Below are 16,702 nucleotides of genomic sequence, written 5' to 3' on the forward strand. Positions count from 1 at the left end.
GCCCTGATTGCTAAAGTTTGTTTGACAAAACAGCCAAATCTAAGCTGTGCTTTGGAGGAATTAAGGTAGGGCCCATGCCAGTCATTTCCTGAAACTGCAGGAAACTACATTTTCTAGACTCCTTTATCAACTGCTTTCTGATAGGTTTAGCCCCTGGGGGAAGACTGGGGAGGCAGAGATCAGAGCATTTCTCCCCTCGTTTTCTGTTTGAGTGGCTTCCCCAGCAATGGCCATATCCCTCTGCAGTTCTGGCTCCCTCTGGACAGTCCATCAGCCAGGCAACCCCTTATGTCTTTCTTGTTCCTGTTTGGAGGCCAGCTCCTGGCTCTGGCAACACCTTCTCCCCTCATCTTTCCTTTCAGTTGGTGGGATGGCACAGCTTCCTGCTTTGGGGAAATCTCTGAACTGTCTGTCCTGATTAGTGTCCCAGCTCCTTCATCCTCTGGGTGACGAGCTCCTTTACATTAAAGTCCCTTGGTCTGAAAGACTGGAGAGGTTTCTGTGCTACTGAATGAACCATGATGGATAGAGGGTTTTTGATGACTTTGATGACAAGGCAGTGTGGGGAAGCTACAGCGAGAAAAACAGGTTACAAGGGACGCTTAGGGAGAAGAGCAGGCTTTGGTCCCAAGTGGCTGGCCGAGAGGACAAGACGCAGCCCCAACAGGTCTGTGGAACACGAAAGTGTTCCTTGGGGCCTCTCAGAAGCACTGGAAGAAGGAACTTGATGGAGGAAAAGGGCATCCTGTAGTTTCGAGGGCCTGTGGTTATGTAGGAATTAACGGGAAGGAAGACACCTGGATTGCTAAGGAATGTGGGAACACCCAGACTTCATTTCTAACAGTTTAAGAAAAAAATAGGTGGGGCGTGGTGGCTCATGCCTGTAATCTCGCACTTTGGGAGGCCAAGGTGGGCAGATCACCTGAGATCAGGAGTTCGAGACCAGCCTGGGCAGCATGGCGAAACCCTGTCTCTACTAAAAATACAAAAATTAGCCGGACATGGTGGCGGGCACCTGTAATCCCAGCTGCTCGGGAGGCTGAAGCAGGAGAATTGCTTGAGCCCAGGATGTGGAAGTTGCAGTGAACCGAGACCGCACCATTGCACTCCTGCCTGGGCGACAGAGCGAGACTCCGTCTCAAAAAAAAAAAAAAAAAAAAAAAAAAGGAGAAAAAAATGAAAACAACCTCCATGTCTGACAATAGAGGTTTGGTTAAAAGAATAATGGTATGTCCACCCAAAGCAAGACAAATGCAGCTTCCAAAATAATGCTGGAGAAAAATGTTTCGTGACCTGGTAAAGACTCATCATATTTTTTCAAGTGAAAAGAGGCATAACATAACCTATGTACAGTACCACCCTGGCTAAAACGCACACCTGCACACGCAGAGCAAACTGCGTGTCTTCATGGATATAGATGAAAACACTAGGGGCGTTATCTCTGGGTGGTAGTGGAATTGTAGGTGATTTTTCTTTTCTTCCCTTTGCTTATCTGCATTTCCTAAAGTTAATATAGGAAATACACTAATTTATATTAAGGGAAAGCAAGGTTACTAAACATAACAAATCGGCATTAAAGACAAGCCTTTGTTGGGGCTCTATCCTCCTCCTGGAATGCCATTTCCACTCCCTTAGCCAATTCCCTTTTCCTCGAATCTCACCAAGACAGTTTTCTTCTGCGATATGGCCCTTCTTGATAACTCCAGCCCATAACATCTCACTTTGAAAGTCCTTCCAGAGGCCAGGCACCGTGGCTCATGCCTGTAATCCCGGCATTTTGGAAGGCCAAGGAGGGAGTATCGCTTGAGTCCAGGAGTTTAAAGCCAGCCTGGGCAACATAGTGAGACACTGTCTCTATAAATAATAAAAAATTAGCCAGGTGTGGTGGCACATGCCTGTAGTCCCAGCTACTTGGGAGCCTGAGGCAGGGAATTGCTTGAGCCCAGGAGATCAAGGCTGCGGTGAGCCATGACTGCACCACAGCACTCAGCCTGGGCAACAGAGTGACACCTTGTCTCAAAAAACAAACGAACTTAAAAACAAAGTCCTTCCAGAATATGTGGTCTGGCCTGCATTTTGGCATTGTCCACTATGATACTTCAGCTGTGTTACATGTTCAAGAATGGAAAGGAGGCCAGGCGCCATGGCTCATGCCTGTAATTCCAGTACTTTGGGAGGCTGAGATGGGCTGATCACTTGAGGCCAAGAGTTCGAGACCAGCCTGGCCAACATGGTGAAACCTTGTCTCTACTAAAAATACAAAAATTAGCCAGGCATGATGATGCACACCTGTAGTCCCATCTTCTCGGGAGGCTGAGGCAGGAGAATCAGGAAGAATGAGGGAGAATCAGGAAGAATGAGGAAGAATCTGGAAGAATGAGGCAGGAGAAGCAGGGAGTCTAGGGTCCCTAGACTCCCGGCGGAGGTTGCAGTGAGCCAAGATCGTGCCACTGCACTCCAGCCTGGGCGACAGAATGAGTGAGACTCCATCTCAAAAACAAACAGGCCAGGCTCGGTGGCTCATGCCTGTAATCCTAGAACTTTGGGAGGCCGAGGTGGGCGCATTGCCTGAGGTCAGGAGTTCGAGACCAGCCTGGGCCACATGGCAAAACCCCGTCTCTACTAAAAAAACAAAAAAACAAAACAAAACAAAAAAGGCTGGGCATGGTGGCGAATGCCTATAATCTCAGTTACTCGGGAGGCTGAGGCAGGAGAATTGCTTGAATCTGGGAGGCGGAGGTTGCAGTGAGCCGAGACTGAGCCACTGCACTCTGGCCTGGGTGACAGAGCAAGACTCTGCCTCCAAACAAACAAACAAACAAAAGAATGAACAGGAGAGATTCGAGTTGGAGTGGAGGTGAAACATGAGCACCGTCTTCAAATATTTGAGGGGCTATTGCATGGAGAAGGCTCTAGACCTTTTTTGTATAACTACCTCTAAAAGGAAAACTAGGGTGGTCAGGGGGAGACATATTAGAGAGGCCATTTTTTCAATTTAAGGAAATCACTCTCGCTATGATGGTGTGGCTGCCTTGAGAGGTAGAAAGGTCTTGGCTGCTGGAGGTGTTCACAACGAAGCTGCCTTCAGTGGCAGAGGTTCCCCAGATAACCTCGTTCTCTGGGCTCCAAAGTTGGATGGTGCTCGTCAAGCATTCTGATTGCAAAGAGCCCGCTGGTATTCCTCTGTACCCTCCACATGGCTGAATGTAGAGCAGGTATCCAACATCGACTTACAGCGTTGACCTTCAGAGCAGCAGTTTCGCCTTGCTGATTCTCAGACCTCCAGGAAAAGCACTTGTTTTCTGACAAATTTCTCCAGTGCACCCATGCACTGTCTTGCCTCTGAGAATCCCTTTCCACCTCCACTTTCCTGTCTCACTCCGATTCATTCTTCAGGCCTCTGCTTAAATTCACTTCCACCAGGAAGCTTCCCCTGTGTGAGCTGCTCCCTTGGTTGGGTTGGGAACACCAGCTCTGTGTTCCCATCTCCTAGTATGCATTGCATGGTGCTTTCCCATTCCCCATGGCACTGACTACAGGGACAAGGCCTGGAGCTCGCTCTCCTGGGTATCTCAGTGTCTAGTAGGAGCTGGCACAGAGCAGGTACTTCGTAAGATTTGCTGAATGAATGAGTGTGCCGGAGAAAGCTGGCCAGGGCTTTAAGACTGTAGGGAACATCCCCAAGCTATAGAAAAAGCACATTTTACAATGAACTACTCGGGAATGTGATCTGCTCCTGTCCCTTCTCTCAACACCCAGGAATAACAGAAGCACAACATCAAAAGGCAGTGGGCTGTTTCCCGGAAGTCTTCAGGGAGTGTGGAGTGCTGTCTCCGTGGTTGATGACTCTGCAGGGGCAGGTCCTAGAGGGGTTCCTGCTCATTCCTGGAGAGCAGGAGCAAGGAACGAAGCCTGAGAGCCCATCTGACTCCAAGGCCTGGGCTGTGTCAATCAGGGACATTGAGTACATGGCCCAGGTCCGGAGTCTGGGTCTGGTCACAACCTTGCACCTGACTTCAGGTGACTATGAATAGTTCTTGTCCCCTCTTGAGGTCTCAGTTTCTCTGTCTGTAAAGGAGTCTTGGTCTAGAAGTCTCCTAAGGGCCTCTGCAGCTTGCATGGCCTCTGCTTCCATGTCACTTTGGGGTTGGAAACCTCCCCTGACATCCCAGAATTCCCTTCATGACCAATGTCATTCACACAAACATAAAGTCATTGTAGAATTTCCTGACTCTACTTATAATTTCAGCTCTCTCTTGGGAGTTTGAAGTTCCAGAAGCTTATTACATGCCTATAAGGCATGTATAAGGCCATGCTTCTTCATAAAAACATTAAGAAGATCATGCATTTCCAGCCAGGATGGGGGAGCACTTTCATAGGCCCCCACAGGAGCCAAGGGAAGTGAATGGAACATGGGCTTTGAGTAGACAGACCCGGTCTGAATTCTAGCTCTGCCACTTCCCTGCTGTGTGAGGGTCCCTTAGCCTCTCGTCCTCAGCTTCCTCATCTAGAAATGGAAATAAGTCTCTACTCCTCAGTGTTGCTGGGTTGCTGTCTCTGGACCGTTTCTGAGAAGGAGGTCTCACGCAGCAAGCATCCTCTGTTACAAAATGAGGAACCCAAGGACCAATGAGTTCCCTTAAAAACCTTTGCAGGCCGGGCGCAGTGGCTCACGCCTGTAATCCCAGCACTTTGGGAGGCAGAGGCGGGCGAATCACGAGGTCAAGAGATGAAGACCATCCTGGCCAACATGGTGAAACCGCTTCTCTACTAAAAATACACTGGGCGTGGTGGTGCACACCTGTAGTCCCAGCTACTCAGGCAGGAGGATAGCTTGAACCCGGGAGACAGAGGTTGCAGTGAGCCAAGATTGCATGCCACTGCACTTCAGCCTGGGGACAGAGGGAGACTGTGCCTTAAAAAAAAAAAAAAAGAAAGAAAGAAAAGAAAAAAGAAAAAAAAACCTAGACTGCTGGTGTGCAGGTGTGGGGATGGAGGGAGGTGGGCATGAGGGCAATGATAACATTCCCTTAGAAGTTTGAGTCTGGGTGTGGTGGCTCACGCCTGTAATCCCAGCACTTTGGGAGGCCAAGGTGGGCGGATCACCTGAGGTCAGGAGTTCAAGACCAGTCTGGCCAACATGGCAAAAACTCATCTGTACTAAAAATACAAAAATTAGCCGGGCGTGGTGGCAGTCACCTGTAATCCCAGCTACTTGGGCAGCTGAGGCAGGACAATCATTTGAACAGGGAGGCGGAGGTTGCAGAGAGCCAAGATTGTACCACTGTACTCCAGCCTGGATGACAGAGCAATACTCCGTCTCGGGAAAAAAAAAAGAAGTTTGAGTTGGCCATCATTTCTGAGGCCCGATTCCAGGGCTGGAGAAAGTAACGGCATTGCATCCTGCAGGTTAGGCGTCCAGGCTGGGTTAGAGTTACTTAGAAGCAGGGGCTTTCATGAAAGGGCCTGGAGCTCAGAGATGGGAGTGTGGGGGCTCCAGGCTCCTACTGGACTCTGGCTTCCCAGATGGTCCACTAAGCACCTGGAGAAACAGACTCAGAGTGGGGTGGGATATGTCCCACCCTGGAGGCACCGCCCTCCTAGAGAGGGGCCTCTCGCCATATGCTGATGGTTTTGTCCACCAGGACAGGGCACTCCTCGTGACCTTATCCTCTTCATCCACTTAAATAAGCAGTTGGGGGAAATAAAAAGACTCAGCTTATATAAAGCCATCACACCTCCATGTCATGTATCGTCACACGCCAAGGGTGGGGCTCCCAGGGCTGGAACCGGTCCTGGTGTCAACCAGTATCTCTTGAGGAACTGACTCATGGAGCTGACTCACGCATTTAGATATAACTTCTAGTCTGTTTTCTAGAAAAAACACCCCCAACCCTCATTACTTCAGCCCCACTTTATGCACACAGGAATGAGCTCAGGGAAGATGCGCAGGCAGCCATTGATCAAAACCTAAATCACATGGGAAACAATCAATTACAGAATAATAAGTCCCAGACCAAGTGTTAAGGTCCTGTTCTGTCTCCCGCGTACTCCCTCCAACATCACTATGCTCGCTGAGCAGCACCAGTGCCCCCTCAGAGCAGATGCTGGGCGAGGGAGGACGGGCACCGACGGGCAACGGGAATTTGGGATCAGGATGGTATCATCGCATGCGAGAGCTCCTGCAACCTTATATGTAAGTCAGTCACAGCCGTCCACTTACTGACTCCAATTCATACGCCAATTCACTCACTTATTCTTTCATTCACTTACTCAATCCCAAGCTTCCACTCTGTGCCAGGTGCTGGTGCCAAGAGGAAAAGCAACCCCTTTCCTAAAGGAAGTTTTCAGGGCGTCCATTACCCCAGCCCTCCCCTCTCCAGGTTCCCTGAGCTCGGTTCGGGTAAGACCGCGCCCAGCCGCCCTGACATACCACCACCGTCCAGGAGGTGGCAGCAGACAGGTTCGGAGAAGCTCAAGGGCGGCGACCCAGCAGTAGGAGGAGGAGGAGGGCGGGCGGGTCACCTGGAGAGGACGTCCTTCCCTGTTTCCTGGAAAGGACCAGATACCCGAAGCTGGCCACAAGCGGGCATGGTGGCGGGTGTCTGTAATCCCATCTACTCGGGAGGCTGAGGCAGGAGAAGCGTTTGAACCCGGGAGGTGGATTCACTGTCTCCTTGTCTTTGTGAATTAGCAAGGACATTTGGTTACAAGTAATAGAAGGCCCTGGCTTAAATGCTGGGGTGGGGGAGGAAACATAATTTCTCACTCCTTCATAGTAGAGACAGATCGCCCTGTAACAAAAGACAGATTACCAAGAGAAAAGCAAGCAAGTCTGTAATACGTGCAGCACACATCACGAGGGAGAAACCTCAAAAGAAAGGTGATGGTGCAGTGGCTTATGACTCTGGCTTAGAGAGCATCTTCAACAAAGAACAATAAATTTTATCCTGACAAAACGCTGTCAGGAATAACGCTCAAAATCCTAAGGAAATTGAACACTCGAACAAAGGATTCTTAGCAAAGTAATTTTACTTCTGCGCAGACGGGTGCCTCCTTGGCCAGTCGCCATGAGAGCACACCTGAACAAAGGGCAAGAGAGCCTTTAATTCTGACGCAAATCCTGCCCCTGTACTCTTTCCCCATTGGCCGGGGTCCGGTCGTACAATCTAAACGAATCCCGGTTGGCTAAACATTTGAATTTTTTTACATAAGGTGGGCACGTAAAAGAAATTGGAGAGGGCGGGGAAGGGGTGTCTGTCATGAGCTAGAAAGTTAGTCTTCTTTCCAAATAAGGAAAGGAATGTGAGCTGGTACTGATAACCCCTGGTACTGTGGTGTGCCTGGGCATCTAACAAAGGCAAAAAGGAGAAAAAGGGGTACTATGAATTAAAGAATAAAAGATGGATCAGATTATTTGAAGAGAAACCTCATCATATCCCACAACGGGAACAGGAAAAAAAAAACACACAATACATTTTAGAGAAGTGGCAAGACAAAGGAAAGCAGGTTTAGGCTCCCAAAGGAGGGACCTCTGAGAAGGTAAGTGCATGGGAGTAAACTGATGGCATAAGGTTTGTAAAAGTTGTCTCCAGTAAAGAATTTATAACCTGCCTTTCGGCGGAAAGAGGGGAGCTCTTCCTCTGTTTGCTGCTTTTTAACTACCTTAGCTAAAAAATATTCAAAATTATCGTGTCAAAGAGGCATATTTGGGGGTAACACATTCTGGTTTCTTTCATGGACTTGTATGTAGGTTGCAAGGGGCCGGGCATGATGCCTCATGTCTGTAATCCCAGCACTTTGGGAGGGGAGTGACCAGGTTGGCCAACATGGCGAAAACCTGTCTCTACTAAAAATACAAAAACTAGCTGGGCACAGTGGCTCACTCCTGTAATCCTAGCACTTTCAAAGGCCGAGGCAGGTGGATCACTTGAGGCCGGGAGTTCGAGACCAGCCTGGGCAACATGACGAAACCCTGTCTCTACTGAAAAAAAAAACAACAAAAAACCAACATGGCAAAACTCCGTCTCTACTAAAAATACAAAAATTAGCTGGGCATGGTGGCGAGCATCTGTAATTCCAGCTACTCAGGAGGCTGCGGCAGGAGAATTGCTTGAACCCGGGAGGAGGAGGTTGCAGTGAGCAAAGATCACGCCATTGCACTACAGCCTGGAGACACAGCGAGACTCCATCTCAAAAAAAACAAAACAAAACAAAACAACAACAAAAAACAAACAAAACAAAACAAAAAACCAAACCAAAATTAGCAGAATGTGATGGTGCACAGCTGTAATCCCAGCTTCTTGGGTGGCTGAGGCACAAGAATCACTTGAACCTGGGGGGTGGAGGTTGCAGTGAGCTGAGATGCTGAGATCACGCCACTGCACTCTAGCCTGGGTGACAGAGAGAGACTCTGTCTATCTAGAAAAAAATATTTTTAAAAGTGGGATGAAGTCGAGGCTGGGGTGCAGCTGCACCTGGGGGAAGGGACCAGAAGCAGGGGTTGCCGTTTCTTGTCTCGGCAGCCCACGTGGCAGTGGCTGCTTTCTTGTCTTGTCTGCAGACTGTTCCTCAGACTGGGAAATGTGGCCATGGCAGATTGGAAGGTACCTGCTCCAGGCCCAGCCAGCCAGGGAGACTACTGAATTCCAGGGAGAGGGACTTGTCAGATCAGCTAGGCTTGGGTCTAGCGCCTGCCCTGGCACCAATAAGAGGTGACAACTGCGGGCACAGTGCTAAGACAGTCACCAGGTGGCCTTGAGAGAGTTGTTGGAAACTGGGAGACCCTTGCTAATGGAGAGCTGCTGGAATGAGTTTGGCAATGCAAAGCTAGGCGCACAGGTGCTGTTCCATATCCTTCCATGGACCATAGTTGCAGCTGGGTGAGCTGTCAGCTCCAGCCTCACTACAACAAGGGATATTGGCTGGGGACCCTGCCCTCAGCCCCATGGCACTCCCCTTTCTTGTGCACTCAGCTTGGTGGATTCCAACTGCAAGTACCTGCAACTCTGCCTCAGGGAACGGCCTCCACACTGGACTGATGGGAGGGAGTAGCTAGACTCCCTGGCTCCTGCCCCTGGCAGTGGGACCAAATCTGAATTGCATCCTACATTGACTTCCAGAGCTCTCCAGGGGCACTGAGGTCCAGCTGCCCACAGCAGGGACCTGTTGATGACACACTTTGCCTGGCTGCCCTCCTCCCCTACCCTCCTCCCCATCTTGCCTCCACACTCCCCTCCTCCCCTACCCTCCGCCCCATCTTGCCTCCACACTCCCCTCCTGGCGTTACCTGGATCACTGCACTGCTTTCTACCTTTCTACCTTTTCTCTGGGTTTGCTTCTGGGGACCCGACTCAAGACCCTTGTAGTCTTTTTTTTTTTTTTTTCTGAGACTGAGTCTGGCTCTGTTGCCCAGGGTGGAGTGCAGTGGTGTGATCTTGGCTCACTGCAAGCTCCACCTCCCGGGTTCATGCCATTCTCCTGCTTCAGCCTCCCAAGTAGCTGGGACTACAGTCGCCCGCCACCACCCTCGGCTAATTTTTTGTATTTTTAGTAGAGACAGGGTTTCACCATGTTAGCCAGGACGGTCTCGATCTCCTGACCTCGTGATCTGCCCGCCTCGGCCTCCCAAAGTGCTGGGATTACAGGTATCAGCCACCCTGCCTGGCTGACCCTTGTAGCCTTAACAGCTAGGTTTCCCAGAGGAGAGGTGAGGAGCCTTTGAAAAATAAGAGCATAGGCCAGAAACGGTCACTCACACCTATAATCCCAACCAACACTTTGGGAGGCCGAGGCGGGAAGGATTGCTTGAGCCCAGGAGTTTGAGACCAGCCTGGGCAACATAGGAGATTCCATCTCTACAAAAACAAAAAAATTAACCAGGCCTGGTGGGGCATGCGTGCATGACAGAGTGAGATCCTGTCTCAAAAAAAAAAAGATAAGAGCATACGCTTTTCCATTCAATTGTACCTTTTTTCTTTAAAAATAGAGCTCTTTATTTAAACAGTTTAGGGTAATACCAACAAGCAGTAGGATATCGTTTAAATATGACATAAACATAGAAAAAATAGAAATAAATACAAATACATAAGAACAACATATACCGTTAGTAGTCTAAAGGGATACATGTTGCTTTCACCTAAGGCACTAACACTTTTCACGGGATATGCTTCCAGCGCAGGCCCAGCCCACACCGCGCAGTTCCCACCTGCTGTGCACGTGAAAGGGCTTTGTAAACAGTTAAGTGCTGACCACACAAGGCAAATTATTATACTGATTATCATGCCCTTTCCAAATGCTTCTCCTGGCTTTTTGTGAATGACTTAATGACGATAAAGGAGATGGAGTTTAGAGTTACTGGAAAACTTAAGCTATGTCAGAAATTAAACTCTGGAAAAAATTCTTTAAAAAAATAGTAAGGTTTGGCTGGGCGCGGTGGCTCACGCCTGTAATCCCAGCACTTTGGGAGGCCGAGGCGGGCGGATCACCTGAGGTCAGGAGTTCGAGACCAGCCTGGCCAACATGGTGAAACCCCGTCTCTACTAAAAATACAAAAAAATTAGCCAGGTGTGGTGGCGGGTGCCTGTAATCCCAGCTACTTGGGAGGCTGAGGCAGGAGAATCACTTGAACCCGGGAGGTGGAGGTTGCAGTGAGCCGAGATTGTACCACTGCACTCCAGCCTAGGCAAAAAGAACAAAACTCCGACTCAAAAAAACAAAACAAAACAAAAATGGTAAGGTTTAAGAATAGAAACGGAGTGGTTATTTCATACAAGTCTAAGATGATGCTGATGATAGCTTTTACTTTTTTGAAGTTACCTCCACGAAGCAGCTCGGCTGGTGCCAGAGAGAACATCGGTACAGGTCTGGGAATTTCCCTGGGAGCTGGCCCCAAGCCACAGCCCTCCCCAGCTCCGTAGTTTGTTTGTTCTTCCTCTCCTGGGCTCAATCATCTGGACAAGCCTCACTGCAGGGAAAACCCCTGGGGAGACACAGGTGTGTGTCGTATGTGTGTATGCATGTGTGTGTGTGTGCCCCAGCAGCGGTGAAGGCCTCCTGACCCTTAGAAATCCTGGCTGTGACCTTCATATTTTACTGACATGGACAAGGGGTCAGAGGTTGGCCCGGCTGTGCAGAGATCGAAGCTCTTACCCTTGGGGATGTGCACAAGTCATCAGAGCAGCACTGCTGGGCGACCTTGGACAAGTGCCTTTGCCACCCTTGACCTCAGCTCCTTTGCAACAAAAGGAGTGGTTTGCTAACTTTTTCTTGAGTAGTGGATCCCTCTAAACAAAACCTCACGTGGAAAGCCACAGTGTGTGAATCAGGGCACAGTGAGGCTGCTCTGGTGAAAGTGGGAGGCTCCTATAGCCCCATGGCGCCCCCTGCAACTGCAGCCCAAGGCCTCTGGGGGACATGGTTTGAGAATCCCTGGATGAGATGCCCTAAGAAGCTTTTCCAGTTCTGCCATTTAATGCTGTACCCTTGTGGTGGCTTTAAAGCAACACAGCTCTGTGGGTTCAATGGCTTTGAAGATCCCTTCTTCACAAATCCAGAAATGTTAGTCCTGGCAGGTTGAATGGCCACAGAGCCAAGGTTGTTCAGATACTCCACCACAAAACACTTCGGTCCTACGGGTGAAAACTCAGCTACGCTCATCTATATTCAGGTGGGTGTAGGTTAACTGAGGATGCATCAGCACCCCCAGGTAAGGATAGTCACCTGAATCTAGAAGGCATTGGTTTCTCATAACTGGAAGGGAGAATGGGACTTCTAAGGACCACAACGGTCAACCAAGAGTCTAACGTGCCATCCAAACTGGGATTACAGGCCCAGAAGTCCGATTCCTGCCATGTTACTGTCCTACTCCAACAAACTGGGTCCCTAGAAGGTGGAGCAGTTGGTTCCTCCCCTGGGAAGCAGGGTTCCCATTGCTAGGTGAAGGCGGAGAGACCAGGGTCCCCTTGGGTGGGGCTCTGGCTTCTGAGAGCTCACTCTCCTGACTGGGAGGCAGTGAGGGTAGAAGGAAGGAGGTAGACTGGGGATGAGACAAGCTGAATGTTAAGTGCTCTCAGTCACTCTGGGTTTAGGGGCCACAGGTGGGAGATGCCCAGGGGTCTCCTGGAGCCTGGATAGATGGAGAATTCTACCGGCCACCACGTAGAGAGCACCCAGGACACAGCAGGCTCCGTGCTACACACATCTGAGATCCCCTAGAACCCTCACCACACCCAGGCGTAGCTGCAGATGAGGAAGCCGAGGCAGAGAAGGAAGATGTCTTCCCCAAGATCATACAACCAGTGAACAGCAGAGCTGGGATTTGAACCCCGGTCTGTCTGACACTAAAACCGTACAGTGCCATGACTCCAAAGACCAGGATTTGAGGACAGCCACCCTTCCCTTCCCATCCAAAACCCTCAGCCAACTGGATTTTTATCTGGGCCTAACTAGGGGACCCATGAATCAGGAGGCTGAGCCCTGGGATGGGGGAGTTCAGTGGCTGCTGGGAAAGGCATGAGGTATAGCAGGTGTGCCTCCAGTGGTCTCAAGTTCCAGAGGGCCCCTTGGTGGTGTCCGCCCTTGATGTCCGCAGTGACCTGACCTCACCTGTTTCATGTTGTCCGGGGATAATTTTTCCCCCTGGCCTGTCACCCTAGGGACAATGGGGGTGATGACACCCCACCAACCTCTGACCTCAGCCCACCCTGTGTCCACCCCTCTTATAGCTCAGCCTAAAGAGGGCGGGTCACAGGAGGGAGGGGCATCTTGTTGCTCAGCCCGACAGGCAAACAGCCGCTAGGTGGACTTCCCGGAAGTGCAATGCCCCTCCGCCGCCCAGGGGAGGTACGGAGGCTCTTGAGTTTCTTGGGAAGCCCAGTAGTCCTTGCAAAGGCAGCAGCAGCATCAGATTCGGTGGGATGTCGGGGGACAGCTCACCTGGCCATGTAATGCCCCAATGTCCGGCCCCTGTCCTCGGTCCTCTGGGTGCTCTCAGCCCCCCAGCTGCCCGCATCGCTGTCCTCAATTTCTGATTCCCTCGCCTCCTCTTCCTCCTCAGGGCTGCTTTCCCAGCAGAAGGTCAGTGTCTGAAGAGAAACTGGGGGTCCCCCAGGGACCAGATTCGGCTCCGGTGGTAAGGTGCCCCAGGTGGCCCAGGAGGAGAGGTTATCTTCTGGGAGCTCTTCCAGGAAACCCGAGTCCTTGGAGAATTCAGGTGGTGGGAGAGATTCTTGGTGCCCATCCCCACCCGGCCCTTGGCCTGGCCCCTTCTCAGCCAAATAGCCAGAGGACCCAGCCCTGTCCCAGGAGGAGTCCACAGTGCTGGCCCAGCTTCTGTCTGAAGAATCCCAAGCAGAGGAGCCTTCGCTTGGGACCAGAGGAGCCCTGGGCCTCCCTGAGTCCACCCCACCAGCCTCCGAGTGCCCTGGAGCCTGGTGCTCTTGCCCCAGGAAAGAAGGTGGTTCAATGTAGGGCTGGAAGCTGACGCCATCTTCTGTGTCCTCCTCATCCTCCTCCTCTTCGTCCTCTGCAAGGTCCTTCTTCCATCTTGTCTGTTGGGTGGCTGGGGCCCTGACTCGAGGCGTCGGCCTGACCCCTCTGGTCAGTTCCTTTTGGGGACAGAGGAACAAGTCATTCACGGACTCTGGTCTGCTGGGCTGAAAGGTTGCCACAGGGTGTGTGTGTCCAGAAAAGTCCTGATTTGGGTAGGGGAGAGAAAAGCAGAAAATTTAGGCTTTCCTGAAGCATAATTATCATCATCTGAATTCCCCTAGAAACAGACCTCAGACAAGGCTTCAAGTGTAAGCAGTTTCTTTGGGAGATGATCCCAGAACACACCAGATGGGACTGGGGGAGCAGCCAGGAAGCAGGGTGTTATCAAGCAGCTGACCACTAGGGCTACTGGCACTTAATCCTGCTGGCAACTCAGGGAGCCACTGGGCACACGCACCTCAGAACCATCCCAGGAGGGGGACGCTCCTGGGCTATTTACCCACAGTCATTGTTGAGGAATGGAAGAGCTGGTGGCTGTGACACTTGCAGCCTGCCACATGCAGGGGCAATGTGGGCTCCAGAGGCCAGAGAAAGCCCATTGGGTGCAGGCGCTGGGAGTTGCAAATCCAGCTGGTGTGCTCTTAACAGGAAGGCTGAGGGCACGGGGCAGGGCACAGACATGTCTACCCGAGGTTGTCACCCTGACAGTTAGTGGGATTCTCCCACAGATCCTGGAGCCAGGAAATTTGGAAATGCTCCCTTTGCCACCCTGCCACGATGCAGGGACACTCAGAATCCATCCTCAAAGCCCCCATGCCCATCGGAGCCTCGCATATGCCCAAGCTGCCCCTGCCAGCCCTCATCTGAACAGGGCCGACCTATATCACCTCCTGGGCTTCCCCTGCCCCAGCTCGCCCCTAGGTTCTAAGGGAGAGACCCAGCAGACCAGGGAAGAAACTCCAAGGTCAGCCAGGACACAGCTTATCCTGGGTTAAAGTGTGAACTAAAAATTGGAACTCTTTTAAGATGTCCCCTTTGGTGCCTCCTCTCCTCCCCTTTTGAGTGTCTCTCCTGAGGTCCAAGGCCAGGGGCTCTGCTCTCAGCAGCTGACACATCCTTAGCAGAGGTGAAGTTATTTATCTCAAAGGAACTTAAGGCACTGCTCCCTCCAGGGCCTGTTTGCCATTTTATTCAGGACTAAATGAATGCATTACTAATGGTGGAAATTCAGACACAAAGATAGATGTTTTGGTCCAAGAGTCTGGACCATCTTGATATTCTATCTGAACAACTCATAGCTCCAGCCCCACTCCCTTACTCTCAACCCCTCCCCACCTGCTGCACACCCCCAGATTTGCTATACCAGGGCCCGTGGCATCTTTGCCCGCTGAAACCAGGGGTTCCCCATGAGGGTCTTCCAGATCACACCCCCTGCGGCAATTACTAACAGCAGTATCAGAAGCGATGGCAGCACCAGGAAAGCCCAGTTGGCTTCTAAGGAAGGAAAAATAACAATGAGAGAAACAACAATGGCTCTTGTCTACAACTGCACCTGTGCCGAGTGCTTCACATACATGACCCTATTTAATCCTCACAAGAATAAACCCATCCTGCAGACTGTGCAAACCAAGGTTTGGGGCATTATGTAAGCTGCCCAAAGACACACAATGAGTGTGGTTTTAATCCAGGCGAGTCTATCTCTAGGCTCATGTTCTTAACCACTGTGTCACGAAGCTCCCAAGGCCCAGAGGGAAAGTTTCTCTTTCTGCACCACTTGATACCCACCTGGGACCTCCAGCAAGAAGCAGGTGGGCTTAGAGAACTTGCTGTATTTCGGGACACTGAACGTGTAGATGGTTCTGGCACTGAGGCAGTGGTGTTCGCTGGCAGCTGGCTGGAGAGTGATCTGGACTGGCTGGCCATGGGGAGTGACTGGAAATAGGGTCTGTTTGGAAAAGAAGCAGAGAGTGGCAGAGCTGCTGTGGGGACTGGTTTCACACAGCCAGGACAGAGTGGGGTTGGCAGACATGGTAGGGTGTTTTTTTTTTGTTTTTTTTTTTTGTTTTTTTGTAGGGGATAGGGTTTGGTTCTGTCACCCAGGCCAAAGTGCAGTGGTGTGATCACAGCTCACTGCAGCCTCAAACTCCTGGGCTCAAGCGATCCTCCTACCTCAGCTCTCCAAGTAACTAGGGACTACAGATCCACACCACCATACCTGGGTAATTTTTTAAAATTATTTTTTGTATAGGCAAGGTCTTGCTGTTGCCCAGGCTGGTCTCGAACTCCCAGCCTCAAGTGATCCTCCCTCCTTGCCTGAACTTTCTATTCTTTTCCTGCATTAAAGTTTAAGCATTGAGGAAGCACTTCCCAAGACTACCTGAGTTCTTTTCAGCTGAGTCTAGAGGTAGGGATAGCCATGGTTCAAAAGCAGCCTACCACTTGGGGTCGCCCTGGCGTGCACCCCATTAAGGTCCCTACTTCGAGGAGCAGATTCTTCAGGCTTTCCATCTTGGGGTCTCCTAGTCTATCAGCAGTGGAGGAAACCTCTACAGATGCTGCACTGTGTGGTATGGAAGGCACTGGCCACGCGTGACTACTGAGTATGTGAAATGCATCTGGTCCACACTGAGAAGTGTTCCAAGTACAAAACACACATCAGATTTTAAAGACGTAGTGAAAAAGAATGTAAAAGATCTCAATCACTATCAGAATTGCTCATTGAAATGATACCATTCAATTGGATGAAGTAAAATCTGTTATTAAAATTCGATTTACCTGTCTCTTTTTACTTAATTTAACATGGAACACTTAAAACTGCACATGTGGCTTGCATTATATTTCTTTCTATTGGGCAGTGCTGGTCTAGAATATTTGTGAGGTTCTTGAAGGCAGGAACCACGCTGGATTCGGATCTATATTCCCCAGAACCCAGAGTATGCAAAAATCGGGAGTGTGAATGTTACTTTAGTGGAAGCAAGAACATTCAAGAGCAGAGGCCCAGGGACCAAGTCTGGTTGGCCACTTGTTTATGTAAAAAGTTTTATTTTTTGTTTTTTTTGAGACAAGGTCTCACTCTGTTGCCCAGACTAAAGTGCAGTGGTGCGATCATGGCTCACTGTGGCCTTGCTTCCTGGGCTCGAGCGATCCTCCTGCCTCAGCATCCCAAGCAGCTGGGACCACAAGCATGCATCACCACACCCAGCTTTTTTTT

General features: G+C 50.5%; 1 protein-coding gene and 1 long non-coding RNA gene across 6 annotated transcripts in view, besides 3 other annotated features; one reads left to right on the top strand and one right to left on the bottom strand.

Moving 5' to 3' along the window:
• Positions 1-7,236: 7,236 nt before the first annotated feature.
• On the top strand, positions 7,237-16,261 carry LOC124903879 (uncharacterized). Its single transcript, XR_007065544.1, has 3 exons — positions 7,237-7,542; positions 10,815-10,995; positions 13,058-16,261. It is a non-coding gene; the product is annotated as an uncharacterized LOC124903879 (long non-coding RNA).
• Positions 8,700-9,297: an enhancer, noted in NCBI's record as "H3K27ac-H3K4me1 hESC enhancer chr1:24479387-24479984 (GRCh37/hg19 assembly coordinates)". NCBI's record gives its function as "activates a minimal SCP1, AML or CMV promoter by ChIP-STARR-seq in naive H9 embryonic stem cells {active_cell/tissue: H9 hESC(naive)}" and the evidence as "EXISTENCE:reporter gene assay evidence [ECO:0000049][PMID:30033119]".
• Positions 9,298-9,895: an enhancer, noted in NCBI's record as "H3K27ac-H3K4me1 hESC enhancer chr1:24479985-24480582 (GRCh37/hg19 assembly coordinates)". NCBI's record gives its function as "activates a minimal SCP1, AML or CMV promoter by ChIP-STARR-seq in naive and primed H9 embryonic stem cells {active_cell/tissue: H9 hESC(naive and primed)}" and the evidence as "EXISTENCE:reporter gene assay evidence [ECO:0000049][PMID:30033119]".
• Positions 9,896-10,493: an enhancer, noted in NCBI's record as "NANOG-H3K27ac hESC enhancer chr1:24480583-24481180 (GRCh37/hg19 assembly coordinates)". NCBI's record gives its function as "activates a minimal SCP1, AML or CMV promoter by ChIP-STARR-seq in naive H9 embryonic stem cells {active_cell/tissue: H9 hESC(naive)}" and the evidence as "EXISTENCE:reporter gene assay evidence [ECO:0000049][PMID:30033119]".
• IFNLR1 (interferon lambda receptor 1) overlaps positions 9,971-16,702 on the bottom strand; it is a 33,122-nt gene continuing 26,390 nt past the window's right edge. For 3 of the 5 annotated variants that reach the window (NM_170743.4, XM_017000479.2, XM_006710394.5), the window contains 3 exons: positions 15,277-15,436; positions 14,855-14,985; positions 9,971-13,694 (listed from right to left, as the gene is read on the bottom strand). In NM_170743.4, coding sequence (NP_734464.1) covers positions 12,933-13,694; positions 14,855-14,985; positions 15,277-15,436 — 1,053 coding nt within the window. In that variant the 3' untranslated portion in view covers positions 9,971-12,932. The remainder of the gene's footprint in view (positions 13,695-14,854; positions 14,986-15,276; positions 15,437-16,702) is intronic. The other 2 variants (NM_173064.3, NM_173065.3) reach the window with 2 other exon arrangements.

Source organism: Homo sapiens, chromosome 1 (genome assembly GCF_000001405.40).
Source record: "Homo sapiens chromosome 1, GRCh38.p14 Primary Assembly".
Classification (NCBI taxonomy): Eukaryota; Metazoa; Chordata; class Mammalia; order Primates; family Hominidae; genus Homo; species Homo sapiens.